The sequence below is a fragment of the Homo sapiens genome, chromosome 12, assembly GCF_000001405.40.
Source record: "Homo sapiens chromosome 12, GRCh38.p14 Primary Assembly".
NCBI classification, from domain to species: Eukaryota; Metazoa; Chordata; class Mammalia; order Primates; family Hominidae; genus Homo; species Homo sapiens.
Genome location: NC_000012.12, coordinates 133,037,287 through 133,063,299, shown reverse-complemented (window position 1 = coordinate 133,063,299; position 26,013 = coordinate 133,037,287). Strand labels below are relative to the sequence as shown.

Genomic DNA, 26,013 nt, shown 5'->3' with positions numbered 1-26,013 from the left:
TGAAGCAAACATGAGAATTTATTAGGATATTTGGAGTATCTCACAGAAGAATTCAACAATCAAGACATGAAAAGGGCAGAGGTGGACCTGAACATGAAGACCAGAAGAACCAGGTACTGGAACACAATCGGGACTCTTTCTTGATTTTGCTTTCATCATGGCTTCATTCTTCTCTCTCACTGCAGACCATGTTTCTCCATGTGGCAGAAAACAGCCACTCACTGCACCCACATTTAAATATAGCTTGTGATGCAAAAATTACACAGACAAAAAAGATAGTACTAGCTTTCTAGAAGCTTTCTAGTGGGAAAGATAAAACATGCAATGATTATATTATCACAGTGAGAAACACACGTACAGGTTCATATAGATTCAATAGGCATTAACAAGGAACAAGGGCATTTCAATTGCAGATTTGCAAAAACATAAGTGATAATAGAAATCTCAAGGAACTACAAGTTGTTCACAGAGGCCAGAAAATATTGCATAGGAGGAAAAAGTTTTCAGAAATGATAGATAGATAGGCATTGGTTTATACAAAAGTCCTTACATACCATAAGGAGAATGTTACACTTTAAGTCCACAATAAGCCACACGATATTTCAACATGAGGCATGTGAAATCAGGGTTGCATTTAAAAATAATCACTATGTATACATGTGAAAAATGGACTGAAAAATGATAGCAAGGTGCAGAAAACATGCATGCATCTGCAAGGGTTATGGTTGGTTATCAGCAGTTAGGCCAGGGGTAGGTGTTGAACATCTGAAAGCTCATTGGTACCTGTATAGACTAATAAGACCTCTGAAATTGACAACCTGGACATAGATTGCTGGAATGACCAAATGACTGCAGAGGTCTCAAATGCAGATTCCAAATGCCTACTGCTGTAGATTTTGCTAGAAAGTTACTTTTGATAAATACGGCATTCTGTGGGTGCATTTTATGTCAACATTCTAAAAGTGATGTTCCCGAAACCAAAGTATCACAAATATATGGACCCATAGGTAATGATGTCAGATCCTGCAAGAAAAAGTCACACAGAAGGCAATCCTGATACAGGTCTCAAAATTCAGTCTGGACCTTAAGGAAAACCCACTACTTAGTAAAAGGAAAACAATGTCAATTGTCCTTTGTAGAACTGTGCACAATTCCAGGTCAGTGGGAAAATCCAGGCAGTAAGAGAATAAGAAAAGATGATGCTTCCTGTATTTGGCCTCCTTTAGTATGCTATCTCAATGTACCTTATTGTGCTCCATAAAATCACAAATAAATCCAGTCTAACTTTAAAACTTTCTTCTTGATGTAGAATTTGTGGTAGGAAACAATAAGGGGCAATGCAGAGACACAGATTTGTGGTTTACAAGGTAATTTCAAAAACACATTAAAAAATCTCTAATTGCAGAATCAGAGCTCTCATGACACTTTAGAAGGTGAGTTCTAGTGATTACTGCACAACGTATTTGAACCTCTGCATCAGTTTTTAACTAGACCTCTGCTGTCAGCATCAATCCTCCCCATAACACCTGACATTTAGAAAAAAATGTTTGTTCTTGGGCAATCAATAGGCTAATGTTGAAGTTCCATTATCTAGTGTAGGAAGTATCAGGTTTAACTGCTTAATAGTTAATGGAATAATCTAGAATTTCCAAGACCTAATAAATCAATCTCTGGGATTGGAAAGAGAATGGTGATAGATGGAAAGAAAAAATAGGGCAAAAATCACAAAGTACAACATCACCCTGTAACTGTTCATTTGCATTAGTTGGTCTCCCACGTCTAGTAAAATGAATTTGAGATATTAAAAAGTAGGAAGTTCTTTTTCTTTTCTTTTTTTGACAGAGGCTCGCTCTGTCGCCCAGGCTGCACAATCTTGGCTCACTGCAACCTCTGCCTCTCAGGTTCAAGTGATTCTCCTGCCTCAGCCTCCTGAGTAACTGGGATTACAGGCACGCACAACCATGCCCGGCTAATTTAAGACAGGGTTTTGCCATGTTGGCCATGAACATGCTGGTCTTCAACTCCTGACCTCAAGTGATCCACTTGAGGTCTCCACTTGAGGTCCTCAGCCTCCCAAAGTGCTGGGATTACAGGCATGAGCCACTGTGCCCAGCCAGGAAGTTCATACACTTGAGTATGAACAAAAAGTTGGAAAATTAAATGCTTTAAAATTACAGCATGGAAAGACAGAATTATTTGGCTGTTGAACTGGTATTCTGGTTTAGAAAATTATTCATTTATTTAAAATTCCAACTTTCCCAAAATGTTGCAAAATCAATAATTAAAGGAGAAAATATTGTTTAAGGTAAAGGTGCAAAATACCATACTGATACAACAATTTGAACATAAAAGGAGAAGTCTTGAGTTTTTCTAAGTTTGCAATCAAGCTCAATATTGGACTTTTCTAAATTTCATCAGCATACAAAAAATATTAACTTTGCCAAGCAACATTATTGAGAGAACATTACAAAATCCTTACTTAGCTAAGGGATGGTTCATGCATTTTTATGGAAATATATAATGGTAAGTTCTCAATGTGAAGTTTTCCATGGGGATAATGCAACTAGTGAAACAAAGTCAAATACATTTCAAATGATAAAATGGAAATCTTGTTTCCTTATACAGATAGTTCCTGACTTAAGAGGATGTGACTTACAGTTTCTCAACATTACAATGGTATCCATACACTACTATTTTTCACCTTCAGTATTCAATAATTACATCAGATATTCAACACCTTTTTATAAAATAGATGATGCATTAGAATGTGTTCTGAGAATGTTTAAGGTAGGCTACGCTAAGCTATGATGTTTGGTAAGTTGGGTGTATTAAATGCATTTTTGACTTACAATGTTTTCAACTTACAATGGGTTTATTGGGAGGTAACCCCACTGTAAGTCCAGGATCATCTGTACTTTTCCAGGGACCACAGAAATTTGCTAGAAGATAAAATAGGCATCCTTGAATGTCAAAAATGTTTTTCCAGCACAAAATTCCCTAATACTTTACATCTTCAGAAATGTGATTTTTTAATAATTCATTTATCCATCTAATTTTTACAAGATATTTTATGCAACACAAAAAGCATAACAGCAGCACAAAATATCCATGATACTTTATCACAGTAAATTAAAATAGTGACATTTGGGTTACATATCACTTAAGATACATATATATATACTATATGGAGGCACCTCACTAAATGAGAAAAAGATTTAATACAGCACTACTTTATTTCATTTAGTTTGGGTGTTGTAATGTAGTTCACACACCTTTATTTTGCTCATTCAGTTATATATTACTATGGTTATTCTGTGGTTCCTGCCTTTGCATATTTATTTTATATAAACTGTTACTCAGACTCTGAGGATGCAGAAGACTTACACAATGTTGGCTTCAGTTACTGAATAGAAAGGTCCATAAAAACAAAAGACCCCTTATGTATGTCTATAAGTTAAAAGAAACGGGTTATCACTTAAGGTACTTATTCATGTAGTCATGTTACATGAGTTTCCATTTTTTATATTATTGTTAAAAAATAAAAACCAGTGGTGTGTAGTGTTGTCTTCACAGACATCAGAGGCACTAAAAGGCATATGCATTTCATACTCCCAATTACATTAAATTATAGGTAAGTCCAAAACACAAAACATACGTGACACTAGAAGATAAGCCACAAATACCACTAAGAAATGTCTTAGATGTTTCAATAACCAATTTATTCACGTATTTTTAAAACTTCACACTTCAAAGTGAACATCTGTCAACCACTTAGAATTGGGTATTTTTGGTACCCATGTCTACAAAAAGTGTATGGCTTCCCTTGACAGTACTATACTGAGGGGCAAGTGTTCCCAGTGTCTTTAAATTGTTAGGTTCTCCATAATATGAATTCTCCAAAATACAAAATAGTCTCGTTACTTGTTGCACTGTCCCATATTTAGTACTTTCATAGAACTTCATTCCTAAGAGCATTTTCTTATGTACAATGAACTGTCATTTCTTAAAAATATTGCCTCATTTCCCGCATTCATGGGGTTTTCCCTCATCCCCAGTGGGAATATTTCTAATAGCTTAAGAGACTTGACTTCTGGAAGGCTTTTGGACATTCACAGGATTCTTCTTTGCTGTGAATGTTCTACTCTATAAGGCTTGTCTATGGTTTTAAAAGTTTTTGAGATCCACTGCAGTCATAGGTTCACTCTACTCTATGAATTATGATCGGCTTTCCATACACCACCTCATTTAGAGTTCTCATCCTCATGGAGTACAAACACCTAACATGACGTGACTGTCTACAAACGTTATCATAATTGCATTTCCTGAAGTCCAAGATGATCTGTCAAAGACTACTATTAACTGTATTCCTAGGATTTTTTTACTGTATGAGTTCTCTGATGATTGATGAGCTGTGACTTCTGTGAGAAAGCTTTCCCACATTCAATGCATCGATAAGGCTTCTCTCCTGTATGAATTCTCTGATGATTAACCAGCTGTGACTTCTGAGAGAAGGCCTTCCTACATTCACTGCATCCATAGGGTTTCTCACCCGTATGTGTCCTTTGATGTGGTATAAGGTGTGACTTCCGAGAGAAAGCTTTGCCACACTCACTGCATTCAAAAGGCTTCTCTCCTGTATGTATTCTCTGATGATTGATGAGACTTGACTTCTCCCTGAAGGCTTTTCTACATTCATTGCATTCATAAGGTTTTTCTCCTGTATGAGTTCTCAGATGTCTAATTAGCTCCGACTTCTCAAAAAAAGCTTTCCTACAAAGACTGCATTCATAGGGTTTCTCTCCAGTGTGAATTCTCTGATGGGTATTTAGCTGTGATTTCTGGGAGAAAGCTTTTTCACAGTCCCTGCATTCATACGGTTTTTCTCCAGTATGAGTTCTCTGATGAGTTGCAAGACTTGACTTCTCACCAAAGGCCTTCCCACATTCACTGCATTCATAGGGTTTCTCCCCTGTATGTGTCCTCTGATGTGATATGAGATGTGACTTCTGACAAAAGGCTTTCCCACATTCACTGCATACATATGGTTTTTCTCCTGTATGAATTCTTTGATGATTAGTGAGACTTAATTTTTCACTGAAAGCTTTCCCACACTCACTGCATTCATACGGTTTTTCTCCCGTATGAGTTCTCTGATGTCTAACGAGCTGTGATTTCCTGCTGAAGGCTTTCCCACATTTACTGCATATAAAGGGTTTTTCTCCTGTGTGTGTCATCTGATGTGATATGAGATGTGACTTCTGGGAGAAGGCCTTCCCACACTGAATGCATCCATGAGGTTTCTCTCCTGTATGTGTTCTCTGATGATTAATGAGACTCGACCTCTCTCTAAATGCTTTCCTACACTCGCTGCATTCATAGGGTTTCTCTCCAGTATGAATTGTCTGATGTCTAATAAGCTCTGACTTCTCAAAGAATGCTTTTCTACAATCACTACATCCAAAGGGTTTTGTTCCTGTGTGAGTTCTGTGATGTGTAACGAGTTGTGACTTCCTGCTGAAGGCTTTCCCACATTCCCTGCATTCAAAAGGCTTCTCACCGGTATGAATTCTCTGATGGTTAATGAGATTGGACTTTTCACTAAAGGCCCTCCCACATTCATTGCATCCATAGGGTTTCTCTCCTGTGTGTGTTCTCCAATGCGATATGAGATGTGACTTCCGGGAGAAGGCTTTCCCACATTCACCACACTCATAAGGTTTCTCTCCTGTATGTGTCCGCTGATGGGATGTGAGCTGTGACTTTTGGGAGAAGGCTTTCCCACACTGGCTACAATTATAAGGTTTTTCTCCTGTATGAGTTCTGTGATGTGTAATAAACTGAGACTTCTGGGGAAAGGTTTTGCCACAATTACCACAGCCAAAGGCTATGTCTCTTATATGTCTGCTCTGATGTTTAATGAGACTTGGTTTCTTACTGAAGCGCTTCCTACATTCACTGCATTCATAGAGTTTCTCCCCTAAACGATTTCTATGATATATGATAATCTGTGACTTTTTATAGCTCTCTTTATATTTATCACAGTCATAGTATTTTAACCAGGTATCAGTATCCTCAGGCTTGGAATGGAGAAAAAAATTATCAAACACATTAAAGTCATCTGATTCTGCTTTTCCATAATCTCCTTTTGGAATAAGCAAATCTAAATGATGTTTTAAAATCAATCCATCTAAGTCACCTTCACTGTTTGATTTCCTTAAAGGAACAAAGTTCATGTTCAGATTGAAATTTTTTCCAAATGCATCACATTCATGACCTCTTTTTATAATTTTAAGCTTGTCTTGGTTATCCTGGTGCCACATCATGTTACCATCTACTTTCCAGACTTCTATAAAGGAAACAAAAACAATCTGTTTGGTTGTGCTTTCTAAAAACAAAACAAAACAAAACAAAACTAGAAATGCTATGTTGAGGGGTTGGCTGCTTTTAAGGCTTAGTTTCCGAGTCTGAAATAAGTCCCAAGTATAATAACTATCTTCTAGGTATTGCAAGGAAATGCTAAAAACAGAAACAGGAAACTGACTGGAGATTAAGTCATCTTTGGTTGTTGACAAATATGTTTATTAAATGGGGAATATGAAAAACACATGAAAAGCAAAGAAAAAAGGTTAGAAGAAGCTTTGACCCAATGTTTTGAGTAATTAATTCACTCAATACTTTCTGAGTATACACTATGCCCAGGTAGTGTGTAAGGTACTAGAGACACAAGAGAAAAAATAAGTTCCTGTAGGCCAGGAGCGGTGGCTCACACCTGTAATCCCAGCACTTTGGGAGGCCGAGGCAGGCAGATCATGAGGTTGGGAGATCGAGACCATCCTGTCTAACATGGTGAAACCCCGTCTCTACTAAAAATACAAAAAATTAGCCGGGTGTGGTGGTGGGCGCCTGTAGTCCCAGCTACTCAGGAGGCTGAGGCAGGAGAACGGTGTGAACCCAGGAGGCGGAGATTGCAGTGAGCCGAGATCACGCCACTGCACTCCAGCCTGGGTAACAGAGCAAGACTCCATCTCAAAAAAATAAAAATAAAAAATAAAAAAATAAGTTCCTGTCATTATAAAATTTATATTGTAATGGAAAAGATAATATTTTTAAAACAACAAACTATACACTGTAGTAAATACTAAGAAGAAAATGAAAATATTTGAAAGAATGATTAGTCATTTCAAGCTTAAACAATGAGAAATATTTTGTGTATTGTTTCTTATTCTAAAGTTTTATTTAAACTTGCCATATGCATCTTCACATTACTATTAAGAAAGCCACTTAGATCCTCCCACCTTAACTGCCTGAGTAGTTGGGACAACAGGCATGCACCACCATGCCCAGATAATTTTTTTTTAATATTTTGTAAAGATGGGGATTCCCTATATTGTCCAGAATGGTCTTGAACTCCTGGCTTTATGCAGTCTTTCCACCTCAGCCTCCCAAAGTTCTGGGTTACAGGTGTGAGCCACTGCGCCGGGCCAATTTTGGTTTTTCATGGAGGACTTTTAGCAGGTCTCAAAAGTTTTCTTCTAATAGTTTTCTTGGTGTTCTATCATTCATAGGTGTTGAATTTATCAAACTTTTTCTATTTCAATTATTACATTTTTACTTTGTTCAAGTAATATTGTATCATATTAAACAAACATTGCATTGTGAAAAATACCCTGCTTAGTCATGGTATGTAATCATTCTTATACCTTTTTGTATTCTTTTTTTAAATATTTCTGAGAATTTCTGTGTCTAAATTTAAATAGGATGTTGTTTCATAGTCATCTTGTGATTCTTTTGTCTCCTTTGGGTATTATGGTATTACTGGCTAACAGATGAATTAAGAAATATTACCTCTTCTACTGCTTGAAGTTTTTGTGAGAAATTGATGTTTTTCATTAAGTGTTGATGAAATGTACAACTTAAGCAGTTTATAACAACTATTCTATCTAAAAAGATTTAATTTTTTTGTTATGTGGATATAAGTATATTCTATTATATATATAATGAAACAATTCATAGGATGTTTTTTGAGTTTACTTTTGTAATCCATCTCTATCAGTATTTTCTATTTCACAGTATGTCATGAACAATTATTCTAGGCACTTGACATGGAATAATTTGAACAAATAGAGAATGAGTCCTATACTACAATCAATAAATAACTCAAAATTTTCTCCATTTTTAGGATGAAGAATATGAATATAGTTCTGTTACATAATATTTGTGTTTACTGTGTGAGACAAATGAGTTACTGAATGTAAAAATAATTAGTAAAACTGCCCTTTGATTTTGGAATTCATGAAGCAGGCAAATGCCCTACCTTCTATTTTTATCAATATTTAGATAAGGCAGAAAAATAAATTTTAATAAGATACACAGAATAATCTTGTATTTGAAGAATGCTATGAAAAAAGATAGTTTGGAGCAGTAGTTAGTATTTGGCTCATATAATGTGTTAGGTACTATTCTAAGCCATTAAACATTTGTATGCTTAATACCTAAGAGTTTAAAGTGAAGAAATCAAAGATTCATTGAAAAAGAAAAATTAAATTTAAAAAAAATTGTATTTTTAATTGAAAAATAATAGTTGTACATATCTGTCTACAGTGTAATATTTTGATATATGTTTATGTTGTAAAATGATTAAATCAAGTTAATGTTTATAACCTAAAAAAAAAAAAAAGGAAAGCCACTTAATGCAACACATTTTCAAAACCATATCATCTTTCATCTAAACTATTCAGGCACAGAACTTTAAAATCCATGTGTACTTTCACTAAAACTATCCCAAGACCCAAGTTCCCATTCTAAAAATAATCTAATCTGACAGTTTGACAGTCATTTGTTACATAGCTCTATTTCCATTATCCTCATGACATAACCATTTATACTATTATAAGTTAACTTCAAAATATGTATTTTTTGAGACAGGGTCTTGCTCTGTCGCCCATATTGAAGTGCAGTGTTGTGATGCAGCCTCAACCCCCCAGGCTCCCAGGCTCAAGAGATCCTCCTACATAAGCCTCCCAAGCAGCCAGAATACACAGGTGTGCAACCACATAGCTGGCTAATTTTGTTGTTGTTCTTGTTGAGATGGGGTCTCCCTATGTTGTCCAGGCTGCTCTTGAACTCCTGGGCTCAAGCAATTCTCCCACTTTACCCTCCCAAACCAGTAAGAGACTTGGTCTCTCCCAGAGTGTTGGGGTTTCAGGCATGAGCCAACATGCTGGGCCCATTTTTCAATAAAAATCTACATTTCAAATTTTTTGTGAGGTTGTACCTAGAGGTAAGAAAGATAATCAGTAATGTGAAAACATTCTACAAATTTAAATGTCAACTGAAGGTTATATATTTGTAGGATTATATGGTGGAGGTAGAATCAACAAGATTTGCTGATGTATTTGGTATGGAGAAAATAAAGGGAAAAAGAATCAAGAATTACCCTTAGGTTTGGAGTTTGAACAATTTGGTAGATTATGGTGTTTATGAATTGAGGAAGACTGAGGGAGAAATATGAGGGTTAAAATCAAGACCCCATTATAAACATATTAATTTTGTTTTTTGAGACAGGGTATTGCCCTGTCACTCAGGCTGGAGTTTAGTGGTGCAATTATAGCTCACTGCAGCCTTGAACTCCTGGGCTCAAGTGATCCTCCCAACTCAGCCTCCTGAGTAGCTGGGACTACAGGTGCGTGCCACCATGCTCAAGATAATTTTCAGAATTCTTTTGTAGAGATGGGGTCTCACCATGTTGCTCAGGCTGGTTTCAAAGTCCTAGGCTCAAGTAGTCCTTCCACTTCAGCTTCCCAAATTGCTGGGATTACAGGTGCAAGCCCCCACAATTGACACTGTTAGGCCTAATATATTAATTTTGAGATGTCTATGACGTTTCAATAAAACGGTATCAGAGAATACGGGTGCAGAAAATGAAACATCTATAAATTAAACTTACATTCATGTTATTTTAAATGTTATCAAATTATTGAACTATTAATACTTAAGTATGTGTTTTAAATTTACATCTGCCTTCCCCCATCTTTACTTTTTTTCCTATTAGAAAAATGAATTGCCTTATATTTGGTCATTTGTGGTGTATCCCAAATAGTCCCACTCTCTCCATCACTTTCTCTGCTGTAAACTATCACATTACCTCAATGAAATATCCTTCTAATTGGTTTCCCTGCTTCCAATTACATTTTCTATTTGGCAGTCAGATTAAACTTTCAAAATTCTAAATCAGATTTTACTTTTCAAAATTTCTTGACTCAATTATAAGTCCTTTGTATTGCCTACAAGTTGAGTATGGTCTAGTTCCCATGCTCTCTCCAACTTATCTGTATCTCTCAGGCATACCAACCTCAGCCACATGGGCTTCCATTCCGTTTCTAAAAGTAACTAAACCATTTTCTGACTTCACATATTGTTATTTATCATTCCTTTTGGAGACACTTTTCCCCATGCTCATTTCACATCTTTCATGTCTACAATTAGTTTTCCCATGTCATTCTCTGTTATGGACTAAATGTGTCTCCTCAAAACTTGTATATTGAAGCTTAACTCTCAGAATGGCTGTATTTGGAGATAGGACCTCTAAGGAAGTAAGATTAAATGAGGTCATAAGGGTAGGACCCTGATCAAATAGGGTTATTGTCTTTACAAAAATAGATATGAGGCCAGGCACACTGGCCCACGTCTGTAATCTCAGCACTTTGGGAGGCTGAGGCAGGCAGATTACTTGAACCCTGGAGTTTCAGAGGAGCCTGGACCACACAGTGAAACTGTGCCTGTACAAAAAAGAACCTGTTTTTAATTAGCCAGGTGTGGTGCTGCACACCTGTGGTCCCAGCTGCTTGGGGGGATCACTTGAGCCCAGGAGGTTAAGGATGCAGTGACCCATGATTGTGCCATTGCACTCCAGGTGGGGTGAGTGAGACCCTGTCTCAAAAAAAGAAAAAGAAAAAAGAAACCCCACAAGAGATCTCTTCTCTCTCTCTCTCTCCATGTACACACTGGGAAAAGGCCATGTGAACACATAGTGAGAGGGTGGCTGTCCACAAGGCAGGAAGACAGCCCTCCCCAGAAAAAGATCATGGTGGTACCTTGATCTTGGGACTTTCCATCTCCAAAACTGAGAAATAAATTTCTGTTGTTTAAGCTCCCCAGAATATGGTATTTTGTTATGGCAGACTGAGCAGACTAACCCATTCTCTCATCTAATTTTTCTGTAATAACACTTAGCAGGATCTGAATTTTTTCCTGCTTACTTACTACCCTGTTCTTTTTTTGTCCTCCAGCAAGTAAACACTGTGTTGGCAGGAAATATATATCGCTAATGCTCTAATATACCCATAGTACCTAGCACAGTAACTTAAAAGAAGTCAATAAATATTCTATTTTATCTGAAGTAGTCTAGATAGAAAAGAGCATCAGGACCAAAACTACCATCCATAGAAAGCCCTGCTTGCAAGACTGGCCCCTGGCTGGCATCTGAGAACATGGGTTTCAGGAACGTCCCTACTATTTCCTAACTGATAATTACTATGCCGAGACTGTATACAAACAATATGATCACCACATGTTAGGCAGAGAATACCTACATGACCAGCTCCCAGTAAAGACCTTGGGCACTTATCTCCAATGGTCCTTCCTGGGCAGAAACATCAAACACATGTGTTACTATATTTTTGCTGCAGAGGGATAGTAAACTTTGACCCTTACAGGAGGGAGGGAGCTTAGGAAGCCTGCACATGGGTTCTTCGAGACTCTGCCTGTGCCTTTTTCATTTGTGATCCAGCTGTGTCCTTACAGTGTCACTGTAGTAAATCTGTCATAAGTACAAATATGCTGAGTCCCGTGAGTCCTTCTAGTGACTCTGAACATAGGGGGATCTTGGGGACTCTGACACACAGCCCCCATTTGTGTAATCTTGATAATTAGGCTCTCCACTGCCTTGCAATAAAACAAATGCTCAGTGTTTTAAGTGCTCAATTTTTTAAAAAAGAACACAAATATCTCATCTTCTTAACTAAGTGTTATGCTTCTACAACTTATTTTCTGGTCTTACTTTGTAATCCTTTTCAGTAAAGGATTAAACCCACTAGGTGAGTGGATCTCAACTAAAAAGGGCACATAAAAACAACAAGAAGTTTCTCAAATTACAAATCTGCCTTACCACATAAAACAAAAAAAAAAACCAAAAAACAAAACAAAACAAACAAAACACAGGCATGGTGGCACACACCTGTAGTCCCATCTACTCAGGAGGCTGAAGCAAGAGGATCACTTCAGCCCAGGAATTTGAGGCTGCAGTGACCTATGATCACGCCAATGCAATGCAACCTGGGCAACAGACCAAGACCCTGTCTATAAAAACAAAGACAAGGCTTTTGGAAAGAAATTTATCGAACATTACATGTTCTATAACTAAAGTGAAGACATTTAATTATAAGCCCCTGCATTTATGTGTGCAAACAAAGCTCAGGGACCAACCTTCTAAAAAATATTATATATACTACGATCAGGTCACAGATGGGACTTCAGAAAAAGCTGAGAAAAATGTAGGATGGGGTAGTAAAGGAACATTTCATAAATATGAATGCAGTGAAAATCAAGTTCCTATGGAAAGGATTAAGAATTTCTAGGTAACTAGTATAATACCATCAAAAGTTCAAGATGTTACATATCTAAAAACACTTGAGAAATGTTTAAATGGAACTGACCATGAATGGGAGATAGGAAGAAATAACTGAACAGGCAGCAGTAGTGTCATACTATGGAGGTCCCTGAAAGCAGAGATTACAAGTCTATAGCAGATGCTGCCACTGCATCGCCAATACTCTGACATGATTCCTACCCGAGGCACTCACAACTCTCTACCCAAGAACTTTCTTGAGCTGAAAGCATAAGATTGGTCTGTATGCAGGGACCCTGGACATTCTGGATACTTACTATGGCAGAGCAAACCTCCGGACTGAGAGATGGGAGTTAGTACATAAATACCTGGGCTTCCTGGTACCTCAGAGTATCAAGACTGAGGAATATTCTCACAGTGCCTCAGAGGCACTCAGGAGAACTGAGCATCCACTACCCACAGCAGTAGTCGGAGCGTCAGCCCATCCTTCACTGGCATTAATGCCCCCAGCACTTCCATGGTCTGACTTGCCCATTCTCTCACTACATTTGTGGGGACCATGTCCCCAATAAGTTCTTACACTCACATAAGTATCTGAGGGTCTGCTTTTGAGGGAAACTGAAGTAAGTCAATGTCACAAAGCAGATAATGAGTAAAGAGGTTCAACTGATCAGAGTAGTGTGGGATGCTTTAGGAGATAAAATATGGTGGTATCATTAAGACAGCCTGTAAAATATTAGAATCTGGATCTATCCAGCAATTTGACAACTTCAGAAATGAGACATCATGGACCTAGTTTTAAGCGGAAGTTGAGGGAGGAAGGCTTTAAAAAGATACTTTCCCAATAGAAAAAAAATTTTTAAACAACATGAAAGGATGGTAGAAAGGGGTTATTCGGCCATATGCAGTGGTTCACACCTGTAATCCCAGCACTTTGGGAGACCAAAGCGGGAATCACAAGGTCAGGAGTTTGAGACCAGCCTGGCCAACATGGTGAAACCCTGTCTCCACTAAAAATACAAAAAAAATTAGCCGGGCATGGTGGCATGTGCCTGTAGTCCCAGCTGCTCAGAAAGCTGAGGCAGGAGAATCGCCTGAACCTAGGAGGTGGAGTAGTGAGCCAAGATCGCACCACTGCACTCCAGTCTGGGTGACAGAACAAGACTCTATCTCAAAACAAAAAAAACAAAAAAAACAAGAAAGGGATTATTCATATACTTCATGGTGTCTAATCTATAGAAAAAAACACAAAGGAACTTAATTTAAAAGGGAGGATAAGGATAAATTGGGAGAAATGACGGCTCCATTTTCTAATATAATGAGACTGAACAGATTGGGGCGTTTGGGCATCAGAGAACCCAAACTGAAGACAAAATCAAGATGCTTCAATGTACAAACGGAGGTGTCTTTGACCACAGGGGAAGGAGGGACTGAATGGGATCAAACATGTGAGAGGACAGAATACCAAACAAGAAGTCAAGGTCCCAGATGTTACAGAGAATAACGTCATGGCCAAGATAAGCAGGACACATTTCATTTTAAGCTACAAAGAAGCTACGTCTAAATGTGACTTACTTGAGTAGCTAATGTCAATTGTTCTGAGGCACCACCAAAGGTTTAGAGATTTTGAAAAGAGATCCTTAAAGCACATTTCAAAGATGCCAACCCATCACTGACCAGCCAACCCATCAATGACCAGCCCACCCGTCACTGACCAGCCAACCCATCACTGACCAGCCCACCCATCACTGACTAGCCCACCCGTCACTGACCAGATGACATGGGGCTTCTGCTCTCTCCCATCTGCCTGGTTCTCATACACTCACCTGGAGAATCTGAACTTGGAATTTCTCCATCTCCTACCCACGGCTCTTCTCCTTGCTCCAATTTGAAGATGACATCTGGTTTCATAACTTCATACCCTGTTAAGGGAAAAATCACAAAGGCCTTGGGCCCAACTGCTTGGGGTTTAGGGCCTCTAAAGTTGAGCAAGGTTTCACATCAAAGTTGGCCTGGTGAAGCTGTACCCCAACAGAGTAAGTAATTCTCAAAGTTACAGTAACGGTCTCCCTTGGTGGCTAATAGGGTCTAGTACAAAGCCACTGAACACTTCAGAGGCTCTGGAGCCAGTAAGCCTGGGTTTACATCCAGGCTCTTTAATTTACTAGCTGTTAGTTCTTGGGAAAGTTACTTAACCTCTCTTGGCCTCGATCTTCTCATCAGGAAAAATGGATAATGACTGTACTTGCCACATAGGATTGCTCTGATGACTAAATGAGTTGATATACGTAAAGCACTTGGTATAAGATGTGGCATATAGTAAGTTATATGCATTAGGTGCTATCACTACTGCTCAAACTATTACTACTTAAGTTTCAGAGGCTGCATGACAAACTTACAACTTCATTATTGAAAGGTGAGACCCAAATACTTTCTTGGTGTCATAGTCCAAGCAACTGTGATCTAAGTTTCAGGTCTAAAATCATTAAAAATTTCAGAAGCCTAGCTATAGGCTTCTGAAACTTCCCAGCAACTAAAAATAAAAGGCAATGCATTGGGCATAGTCCAAGGTCCTCAAGAAAGCTTTTATTACCCAGTGACACTAGGCTGCTATAGTTCTCCAACATCACATCCTTGTATAAATTCTTCTGAGAGGGATCCAGTAGCTGCCACTCCTTTTGGGTGAAGTCCACAGATAAATCGTCAAATGAGAATGACTCCTGTAAGAGCACAATCCTGGTAAATCTGAAGCAGTTAACACCGTATGATGTGAGAAAAAAATATTGGAGCTTTAGCACTTCATTCTCATAACAAGTTATACAAAATGCCTACTATGTCTCTACCTTTGCATATTTTGTGTGATAAAATGTCATTGTGCATTCTTCCATCCTTCCATTTATACAACTGTTAACCTAAAGATTAAAGAGAGCCTCTCCAGAAGAAAATGATGTTTGTTTGGGAACAGAGTACTGCCATGAGAAGACAGGTGCCATAGTAAACTACATGTGTATCCAGGGAGGTAAAGAAAGACGAAGGTGTCTACAGCCAGTACGGTCATACCACCCTCAACGCGCCCAGTCTCGTCCGTTCTCGGAAGCTAAGCAGGGTCGGGCCTGGTTAGTACTTAGATGGGAAGAAAGACAAAAGTTTTTAAAGGAAAAAAATGAGGTGCATCACATAATTGTTTTGAAACAGTTATCCTTGGCTACAAAGATCAATAACAAGGGTGACACCAGTCCAAAGCTGGACAGGCAGCTGCTGGGCAGATGTCCCAATAAAAGTATTTTTTGTGTAAGGCTTCAATGGCCTTTGTACGAGGCTGTGGCTTTTGCAGTCTTTTGTGATAATTTTTATCAGGCATGCAAGTGTGAGAACACTTTTTTCACAGGCTTCCCAAGCTCTACCTGTAGGGGTTAAAAAAATTAACACTAGTGACTCCATTTTGATTCTGACAACTTTCACAGAAGACACGCAAACTGGAATAGGTGACTTTAAACCCCCTGAACCACCAATAAAATCTTTACTGAACCTCAAATTTGGCACTGGAAGAGGTAGTAGCAAAAGAAAGAAAATAGGATAGGCAAGGTGGCTCACACCTATAATCCCAGCACTTTGGAGGCCAATGCGGGAGGATCACTTGTGCCCAAAAGTTTGAGACCAAACTAAGTAATACAGTGAGACCTGTATTATATATATATATAAATAATATAATACATAATATAATATATAATATAAATATTATATTAAAAATAATATAATATATAATATAAATATTATATTAAAAATAATATATAAATATATATAATATAAATATCATATATATATAATATAAAATATATATAAATATTAGCTGGGTATGGTGACATATGCCAGTAGTCCCAGTTACTTGGGAGGCTGAGATGGGAAGACTGTTTGACCCTGGGAGGTCGAGGCGTCAGTGAGCTGTGATTGCACCACTGCACTGCAGCTTGAGTGACAGAGTGAGACCCCATCTCAAAAACAAACCAATACACTAAAATACCAAGAAGGAAAATAATAAAATAATACTCTCAAAAGTCGCATTGTCTTACAGAGGGCTGCAAATATGCACTTACAAATAAAATAAACTTATAGTAACTAAGAAATAAAGGAGAGCACAGTGTGGATAAAAAGCAGGCAGCACTTCACTCTATTTGAGTGTAGAGTTAGGCTCTACGGAAAAGGTAAAATTGAAATGGGTTTTAGAAAATTAGTTGTTTTCCACAAAAAAAAGAGGATGCAAAGACATTCTGGGAGGCAGCAGCTCTGATTTAAAAAAAAAAAAAAAAAAAAAAAAAAAAAAAAAAAACTGTGAGGACTGAAGAGATACAAAAACATCAGTCTGACAGGATAATAGGGAATGGGATAGTGATGAGATTAAAGGCCACAGTGGGGCTGGGGCAGAATGTGGTTAGCTTAGCTAGGACACTTTCTTGTTGCCAAGTTAGCCATCAAAGACCTTACAAGAAAGGGAATGATAGAACCAAACAGATTTTAGAAAGGTGACTAGATTTTGGATCAAGATGGATTTCTGTCTCAAAGTCTCCTAAGATAAAAAGAAAACACAAGCACACATCTTTTAAAAATCTAGAATGCCACCAGAAAATCAAAAAATAAATTTGACCCTCACAGCACACAATATACTTTAAGAGAAGTCAGAGAATTTGAAGACAGATCAACAGAAACTGTTTTGAACAGACAGAAAATGACTTAAAAATGAACAGAGCTCATGACACTATCAAATAATACCAAAGACTCTAATGTGAGTGTCATAGGAGTCCCAGAAAGAGAAAAGAAAGAGCATGGTGAAAATAAAGTCTCAAGAAATGATAGCTGAATATTCTGTAAAACTGGCAAAATATATAAACCAAAAAATTCAAGAAGTTCAGTGAATGCCAGGCAATAAACATAAGGAAATCCATACCCAGACACATCATAAATGGCCAGAAAGAAAAAAAATCACATCACTTAAAGGGAACAGCAATTCAGATAACTGCAAATTTCTTTCTTTCTTTTTTGAGACAGAGTTTTGCTCTGTCACCCAGGCTGCAGTGCAGTGGCACAATTATAGCTCGCTGTAACCTCTGCCTCCTGGGCTCAGGTGATCCTCCCACTTCAGCTTTCTGAGAAATGGGGACTACAGGTGCATGCCACCACACCCACTTAATTTCTATTTGTTTGTTTTTGAGACACAGTCTTGTTCTGTCACCCAGGCTGAAGTGCAGTGGCCCAATCTCAGCTCACTGCAACCTCCGCCTCTCAGGTTCAAGCAATTCTCCTGCCTCAACCTCCTGAGTACCTGGGATTACAGGCACCTGCCACTACGCCCAGCTAATTTTTGTATTTTTAGTAGAGATGGGGTTTCACCATGTTGGCCAGGCTGCTCTCGAACTCCTGACGTCAGGTGATCCACCCACCTCGGCCTCCCAAAGTGCTGGGATTACAGGTGTGAGCCACCGTGCCCAGCTGAGAGTAAGCAAATTAATGATTGTCTTAGGCTGGGGTGGGAAGAGGAATTGACCAAAAATGTCACAAAGATTGTTTTGGGGTGAGGAAAATCTTCTAAAACTAGATTGTGATGATGGTTATACAGCATAAGTTTACTTAAAAATCAATGAATTATACATTAAAATGGTGGATCTTATTGAGGTCATACTTCAATAAAGCTGTTAAAAAGATATTACAAACTTATGCCAACATACTTGACAACTTAAGACGAGATAGCTATATTCTTTTTTTTTTTGAGATGGAGTCTTGCTCTGTTGCCCAGGCTGGAGTGCAGTGGCGCAATCTCGGCTCACTGCAACCTCCACCTCCCAGGTTCAAGCGATTCTCCTGCCTCAGCCTCCCAAGTAGCTAGGATAACAGGCGCCTGCCACCACGCCCGGCTAATTTTTTGTATTATTATAGAGATGGGCTTTCACCATGTTGGCCAGGATGGTCTCAATCTCTTAACCTCGTGATCTACCCTACTCGGCCTCCCAAAGTGCTGGGATTACAGGTGTGAGCCACCACACCTGGCCAAATAGCTATATTCTTTGAAAAACAATGAACCCAAAGTAACAAGAAGAAACAAAATCTGAATTAATCCTGTAACTGCTAAAGAAACTGATCCCACAATTTTAAAACTTTCCCTCAAAAAAAATGCAAGATCTATGTAGTTTTAGTGGTGATTCTTCCAAACATTTACTTAAAATGATCTGGCCAGGTGTGCTGGCTCATGCCTATAATTTCAACTATTTGATAGGGTGAGGCAGGAGAATTGTTTGAGGCCAGGAGTTCCAGACCAGCGTGGGCAATATAGTGAGAACCTGTCACTACCAAAAAAAAAAAAAAAAATTTAAACTAGCTGTACTTAGTAGTAGGTGCCTGTAGTCCCATCTACTTGGGAGGCTGAGGTGGGAGGCATGTTTGATTCCAGGAGTTCAAGGCTGCAGTGAGCTATGATTGTGCCACTGCACTCTAGCCTGGGTGACAGAGTGAGACCATGTCTCTTAAAACAAAAAGAAAAAAAAAGTTATTGCTGATGTTTTTGTTAACATGAAAAATCTAATCAAATCTAAAGAAAAATCATTAGAACTAATAAGTAAGCTTAAGAAATTCCTGGCCAGGCGTGGTGGCTCACACCTGTAATTGGGAGGCCGAGGCGGGTGGATCACAAGGTCAGGAGTTCAAGACAAGCCTAACCAATATGGTGAAACCCCATCTCTACTGGAAAAAAAAAAAAAAATACAAGAATTAGCTGGGTGTGGTGGCATACCTGTAATCCCAGGTACTTAGGAGGCTGAGGCAGGAGAACTGCTCGAACCCGGGAGGCAGAGGTTGCAGTGAGCCAACACTGTGCCACTGCACTCCAGCCTGGGCAACAGAGTGAGACTCTGCCTCAAAAAAAATAAAAAAATTAAAAAAATAAGTTCCCGTATACAAAGTCAATATGCCAAAATATTGCGTATTTCCATGTTTTGGCAAGAAAATTCTTTCAAATAACAAAATTTCAGATACCATTTACTGTAGAAATGGCTAACGGCAGGTCTGGGACAAAAAGATTAAACCTGTGCCTTGATAGATTCTGTCATGCTGGAAAGCAGTGTTCTAGCTGATCAAGAAGAAATGATCAAAGTAACCTGTCACCATTTTGCAACTCCCAATGAAATAATCCATCTATGCAATGATCATTTAAAAAATGTTGGCCAGGCGTAGTGGCTCACACCTGTAAGTGGCTCACACACTTTGGGGGGCTAAGGCAGGCGGATTGCCTGAGCTCAGGAGTTCGCGACCAGCCTGGGCAACACAGTGAAACCCCGTCTCTGCTAAAATACAAAAAATTAGCCAGGCGTGGGAGCGTGCGCCTGTAGTCCCAGCTACTCAGGAGAATCGCTTGAACCCTAGAGGCAGAGGTTGCAGTGAGCTGAGATTGTGCCATTGCACTCCAGCCTGGGTGACAGAGTGAGACTCCATCTCAAAAAAAAATAAAAAATAAAGAAGCCACCTCAACTGGGGGAAGGACTGCAGTTGCAATTGCAGTGAATGCCACAAAATGTGAAGTGAAAGAAGACAGAAGTGAGCATACACTACAACAGACAAAATAAATAAAATGAGCACACACTACAGCAGACAAAATCAAATATAGTGTTTAAGAACGCACAGATAGGAGCAGAACTATAAAGTCAGGAAATGGAGACCAAAAAAGGATCCTGGTTACCTCTGTCAGGAGGAAGAGGTTGTGACGACTGGGAGAGGGCACATGAAGGGACTCATCTGGGCTAAGAATATTCTATTTCCTGATCTGAGTGGTGATTTCATGCATATTCCACTGATAACAATTCATCAAACTGTATTTTTTAAAACATACTTTTCTGCATGTAAATTAGGCCTTACAGTTTAAAAAGGTAAAAAGTAAATAATTATGGTCATGAAGTCCTGCTCTGGCATTCTACCCTTGGGACATACTCTGAAGAACGCTATGAAAAATGCCGTAAGGTTCATGCGTTTATTAGCGTTTCTCTAGAGAACATTACCCACCACAGTAGCCCCCACCTATCCACAAAGGAGATGTTCCAAGACTCCGGTGGATGCCTGAAACCAGATAGAACCAAACCCTATAAAGCCTACGCTTTTTTCCTACACATACATACCTATGGTGAAGTTCAGTTTATGAATTAGGTACAGTAAAAAATAAACAACAATAATAAAATAGAACAATTATGACAACATAGTGTAATACAAGTTACCACACACTGAGACTATAACTTCTGCAGTTTGAGGTGTGACAGCAGAATTAGCATGTATTTATTTTTCCTTCTTCACAATTTCATGAATAGATTTGTTCTTACTGTAGATCTTAGCAACCTCAGCCTGTATTTTTCGTTATGTTGAGAACTTTCACCTGTTCACTTAAAGCTTCTCTTTGGTATATCCGAATTACTAGCATCACTACTTTTATGTCTAGGAGCCATTATTAAGTAAAATAAGGGCTACTAAAATACAAGCACTGCAATACCATGAGCTGATCTGACACCTCAGATGGCTACTAAGTGACTGACAGGTAAGCAGCATATACAGCATGGATCTGCTGGACCAAGGGATGAGGCAGGTCCTGGGTGGGATGGTGCAAGAGTTCATCATGCTACTCAGAACAGGAAGCAATTTAAAACTTACCAATTGCTTATTTCTGAAATTTTCTATTTAATATTTTCAAACCATGGGAAATTGGAAAATTGAAACTGCAAAAAGCAAAACTGCAGATAAGGAGGAACTACTGCATATCTCTCATTCATAAGACTTCATCAAGGAAAAAGAAATGGACACCCGATAACCAAGAAATATTTACTTCCTATGGGCAATCAGTTTGCTTTTACCTTTAAACGATGCAAAGCATATAAAAGCTCACATTTCTCTATTACGACTACCAAAAATTTGAAAACAAAGTTTGCAGCTCAAATGCAGTAATTATGTAAGATGTTATGGCTTTAAATATGCTATAAATACTCAATCCTAAGAACCTGTCATGGTCCAGTAGTTAATATATCACTGTGCCAATTTTGTTCCAATCCTGATCATCTGAGGCTATTTTCCTCTGATTTCTTAACTATTTAAACTTTTCTTTTTCACCGGAAGGCTTATACATTTCTTCTAATTCCCTGGGAAAAAATAAGAACTCAACAATCAACTCACCTGTAACATGGTCATTTTCTGCTGCTGTACGAGATGATCAGCAAGGCTGAGATCGGTTCTACTGTGCGTCTCTTCTGCTTCTGCCCCAAAACTGTGGAGTGAGGTCTCAGCTAGGTCTTCTACACTGAGAATGAATTCCTGGTTCCAGGAACTCCTTTCTTATCTCACATGAGCAGGCTTATTTGTAGGGACCAGGATCTGTGGACTTCGGGAGAAATGTACTTCAACTGGTATATTCACATTGCACATGAAATCTCTTTCTCTCTTGCTAGGAACTTGGAATTCACGATCATCTAAGGCCAGAGGTACGCTTGCTATATAACTGAAACAGCACTCTCAGGGAAACAGAATATAGTAAAATGGAACAGTGGAAGCCTAGGTCTCTGCAAACAGATAAGGAAATATCAGAAATAAAGTAATTGTGAGATTCACTCAATATTCACTGTGAATGCTGAAATGCAAATCAGTTTAACAGGTGCTGTTAGGAAAAACACAGTTTATATGATCTGTATTAAAACAGATTTGAGTTTCAATCAACTTTTTCCTTTACCAGCTAGATGACTTTTGGCAAAAACAAACAAATTTCACCATTCTGAGCCTAATTTCCTATTAAAATCTTCTATTAATATATCCTTAACTTTTGTCTGCCATTTTTGTCTACCCATTTCAGAAGGAAATGGGTTAAAATCTCACAATATGACTAGAGATTGGTCAGTTTTTCCTTATAATTCTGCTGATGTTTGGATTATATGCTTATGGCTATGTTGTTTGATGCGTCAAGGTTAAATAGGGGTTTTAAAAAATCATTGTGTAACAACGCTTCATACCCCCAATAATGCTTTTTGCCTTAAAATCTATTTTATCTTAGATGAAGTCTGCAACATCAGCATTCTTTTTTTTTTTTTTTTTTTTTGGTACGGTCTTGCTCCCTAACCCAGGCTGGCATGCAGTGGCACAATCAGAGCTCACTGCAACTTTGAACTCCAGGCTCAAGGGATCCTCCTGCCTCAGCCTCCCACGTAGCTGGAACTACAGGTTTGTGTGCCTCCATGCCCAGCTAACTGTTTTTGTATTTTTTTTCTTTGTAGAGACAGGATCTCGCTATGCTGCCCAGGATAGTCTCAAACTCCTGGGCTCAAGCAATTCTCCCACCTCAGCCTCCCAGAGTGCTAGGATTATAGGCATACAACACCACACCTGGCTTCAGCATTCTTTTGGTATTTACGTGGTATGTTATCATCTGGTCAACTACACTAAAAATCTTAGCATCATTATCTTTGTCCCTTATAAGCAGCTCAGAGCTCAAATTTATTGGTGTTTAAAAAAAAAAAAATCCAAATTGGCCAGGAGCGATGGCTTACGCCTGTAATTCCAGCACTTTGGGAGGCCAAGGCAGATGGATCACCTGAGGTCAGGAGTTCAACCAGCCTGACCAACATGATGAAACCCCATCTCTACTAAAAATACAAAAATAAACCAGGCGTGGTGGCATGCACCTGTAAGCTCAGCTACTTGGGAGGCTGAGGCAGAAGAGTTGCTTGAACCTGGGAGGTGGATGTTGCAGCCCGTGCCATTGTACTCCAGCCTGGTGCAACAAAAGGGAAACTCCATCTCAAAAAAAAAAAAAAAATCCAAACCAACAGTGTGTCTTTTAACTGACAAATTGAATACATTTAATGTTTATTGTGGTTACTGTTTTTCCCCCCTCCTTTCTTGCCTTCAAAGCCTCAATTTCTGTACTTGCTAAAATGGTGAAGATAAAGTGGACCTCACAATGGGAGTCTAAGAAACAAATGAGGTGTTAAAAGGAAAGCGACTGGGGCCTTGTAATAACAGTTACAGCTAACATTCCAGTGCTTTCTGTATGTGAGACAATATACTAAGCATTTTAAATTTAACTCATGCACAACCCTATAAGGCGTTTAACATAATCTCCATTTTACAGAGAGAAAACTGGGACAATGAGTGATTGTAAAATGTGCCTGTGATTGCACATTTAGTAAGTAGCAAAATTCAAATGTTAATTCTCTATCCTGCTATGTTCAAAGCATGAATACTAAAGTCATATTGTCATTTGTGCATATCTACATGCACAAACACACACAACATAAATCCTGGAGTCAGCTCCTATTCCCATGCACACATTCAGTCACTAATTCCCACAAAAATATAAATGAAGGACGCCCTGCCTCAACTGTATCACACTAACAAGCAGCACTTTCTTTTTCATGCCTTTTTGTGGTTCAAACTTCAGTGCCAACTCAGAAACACACAGCAGTTTCTCCCAGTTATACAAGAAATGACTCCTTTATACCTTAAATTGTGATAATACATAAATCTTAGAACAAAAGCTGGCACACAGTCATACGAAACATATACTAGCTATAATTATTATTATAAAAGTAATATATGATGGCAAAATATAAAAAACATACACAAGCTAAATAAGAACTATTATCTATGATCTCACCACAGGTAACCATTCTTAGGATGATGGAAACTATTGTGATATTTTTCATACAATGGAAGCATATGGTCATATTTAAAAGCTGTTTTTGTTTTTTTCCCATTATGTGAAGAACATCTTTCCAGGTCAATAACCTTATTTCTGTAAGATATAAACAACTCACATAAAATAACAAAAAAATAAAATCCGACTCATAATTGACAAAATACATAAAATATGTAGGAATATCAAGACCCATATGAAGCATACTAAAAACACCAATGAGAACTATAAAAATAGAATTAAAGAAATTTATAATTCGATTTTATTCTGGGATAGGAAGACTTCAGATTGTGAAGATAATTTGACCTCAAATGATTTATATAACTCATCGACTCCAATCAGAATCTCAAAATTCTAAAGTTTATGTGTAAGAAAAAAGGTTCAAGAACAATTCGGACACTTTTTTTTTTTTTTTGACAGGGTCTTACTGTGTTGTCCAGGCTGAAGTGCAATGGCATAACCATAGCTCACTGCAGCCCTGAACTCCTGGGCTCAAGTGATCCTCCTACCTCAACCTACAGAGTAGCTGGGGCTACAGGCATGCCCTACCACACCGGGCCTGGATGCTTTTGGAAATACAAAATAATGAGTGTGAACAGGCCCACTGTAATACATACAAATTATAATCATTATAACATTTGACACTGGCTCCAGAGAAGTTATACAGATGAAAAAAAGCAAACTGTCTAAATATGCAAGAGTCAGCATGCAATAAATGTAGCATTTCAAAGCCATCAGTAAAATTAAATTATTTAATGAATACAAGAATATTTGAAAGAAAATAAACGTAGCTATTTCATACAACTACTTTCAGTGGGTTAAATTTTAAAATAATGGAAACCCTAAGAATGTCTACAAAAAAAAACCACAGGTGAATGAATATATGTATAATTTGAGGGGAGATTTCGCTACACCATACCAAAAGCAAAAGTCACTTAAAAAATTTAAAACAGTCAATAAATATAACCATTAAAAAATACACGGCCAGGAATGGTGGCTCACACCTGTAACCCCAGCGCTTTAAAAGCCTCCTTCGATAGCGGCAGAGCCAGGCTGCTGGTGGATGCGGTCCAGCAGGGCAGCCGCTCCTTAGGGCCACGGCGCGGCAAGCGGGCTGGCCCGAGGTCGAGGCTAAACGCGCCCGAGGCTAAACGCGCCCGAGGCTGGCGCCTCCACGCCCGCCTGAAAGGACGCCCAGGAGCGGCGCCTCCGGAAAGGCCGTGCCCGCCCCACAGCCCAGAATCCGCGCAGCTCCGCGGCCCACGGCATCTTCACGACCCGGCCCAGCCCCAACCCGCCCCAGACCCGCATCCGCGCGCGGACGCCCAGGGCCTTGAAGCCGAAGCTCCCCGCGGCCACTCCCGCGCGCCTCCCCCGCCATTCCCGGAGCCCCCAGCGCCGGGCCCGCAATAAACTCACTGAACTCACAAAAGACGCCGCCGCCGAGTCGCGCCCGCGCGCCCGCGGCCTCGCGATCACGTGACACCGCCCGTCCCCCGTGTCCCGCGCACGCGCCCAAACCGTCGGCCTTTGTGCGCTCCCGGGCGGCTCCGAACGGGCCGGGACGAGTCGGGGACTGCACACGCGCACACTCGCACGCGCGCACACGCGTACACTCCCCTCTCACGTGGCAGCGAAGGACAAAGAGGAAGAACGGGCCACCTGCAAGCATTACCAAGAGTGCATG

General features: G+C 39.2%; 1 protein-coding gene across 15 annotated transcripts, besides 2 other annotated features; it reads right to left on the bottom strand.

Moving 5' to 3' along the window:
* ZNF84 (zinc finger protein 84) lies at positions 1-25,791 on the bottom strand. 15 transcript variants are annotated; one of them, XM_047429507.1, is made up of 6 exons: positions 25,746-25,791; positions 24,288-24,425; positions 21,818-22,200; positions 15,219-15,345; positions 14,452-14,547; positions 1-6,346 (listed from the first exon to the last, which is right to left on the bottom strand). In XM_047429507.1, exons 3-6 carry the CDS (start codon positions 21,830-21,832, stop codon positions 4,368-4,370), a joined length of 2,217 nt encoding a protein of 738 aa, XP_047285463.1. In that variant the 5' UTR covers positions 21,833-22,200; positions 24,288-24,425; positions 25,746-25,791; the 3' UTR covers positions 1-4,367. The 15 variants fall into 15 exon arrangements, with proteins under 15 accessions (XP_047285463.1, XP_047285460.1, XP_047285462.1 ...); XM_047429504.1 differs by having other exon boundaries at positions 21,818-22,022; XM_047429506.1 differs by having other exon boundaries at positions 25,755-25,791.
* Positions 4,190-4,390: a silencer, noted in NCBI's record as "peak2056 fragment used in MPRA reporter construct". NCBI's record gives its function as "represses an SCP1 promoter by STARR-seq MPRAs in K562 erythroleukemia cells {active_cell/tissue: K562}" and the evidence as "EXISTENCE:reporter gene assay evidence [ECO:0000049][PMID:32103011]".
* Positions 25,685-25,864: a silencer, noted in NCBI's record as "silent region_5134". NCBI's record gives its function as "represses an Ori minimal core promoter by ATAC-STARR-seq in GM12878 lymphoblastoid cells {active_cell/tissue: GM12878}" and the evidence as "EXISTENCE:reporter gene assay evidence [ECO:0000049][PMID:35858748]".

Coding starts and splice junctions, on each gene's coding strand:
- ZNF84 (XM_047429505.1), bottom strand. Junction 14,548..15,218: donor TAGCAGCCTAGTGTCACTGG/GTAATAAAAGCT, acceptor TTCCCTTAACAG/GGTATGAAGTTATGAAACCA. Junction 6,347..14,451: donor TCCAAGTTCAGATTCTCCAG/GTGAGTGTATGA, acceptor TTTCCTTTATAG/AAGTCTGGAAAGTAGATGGT.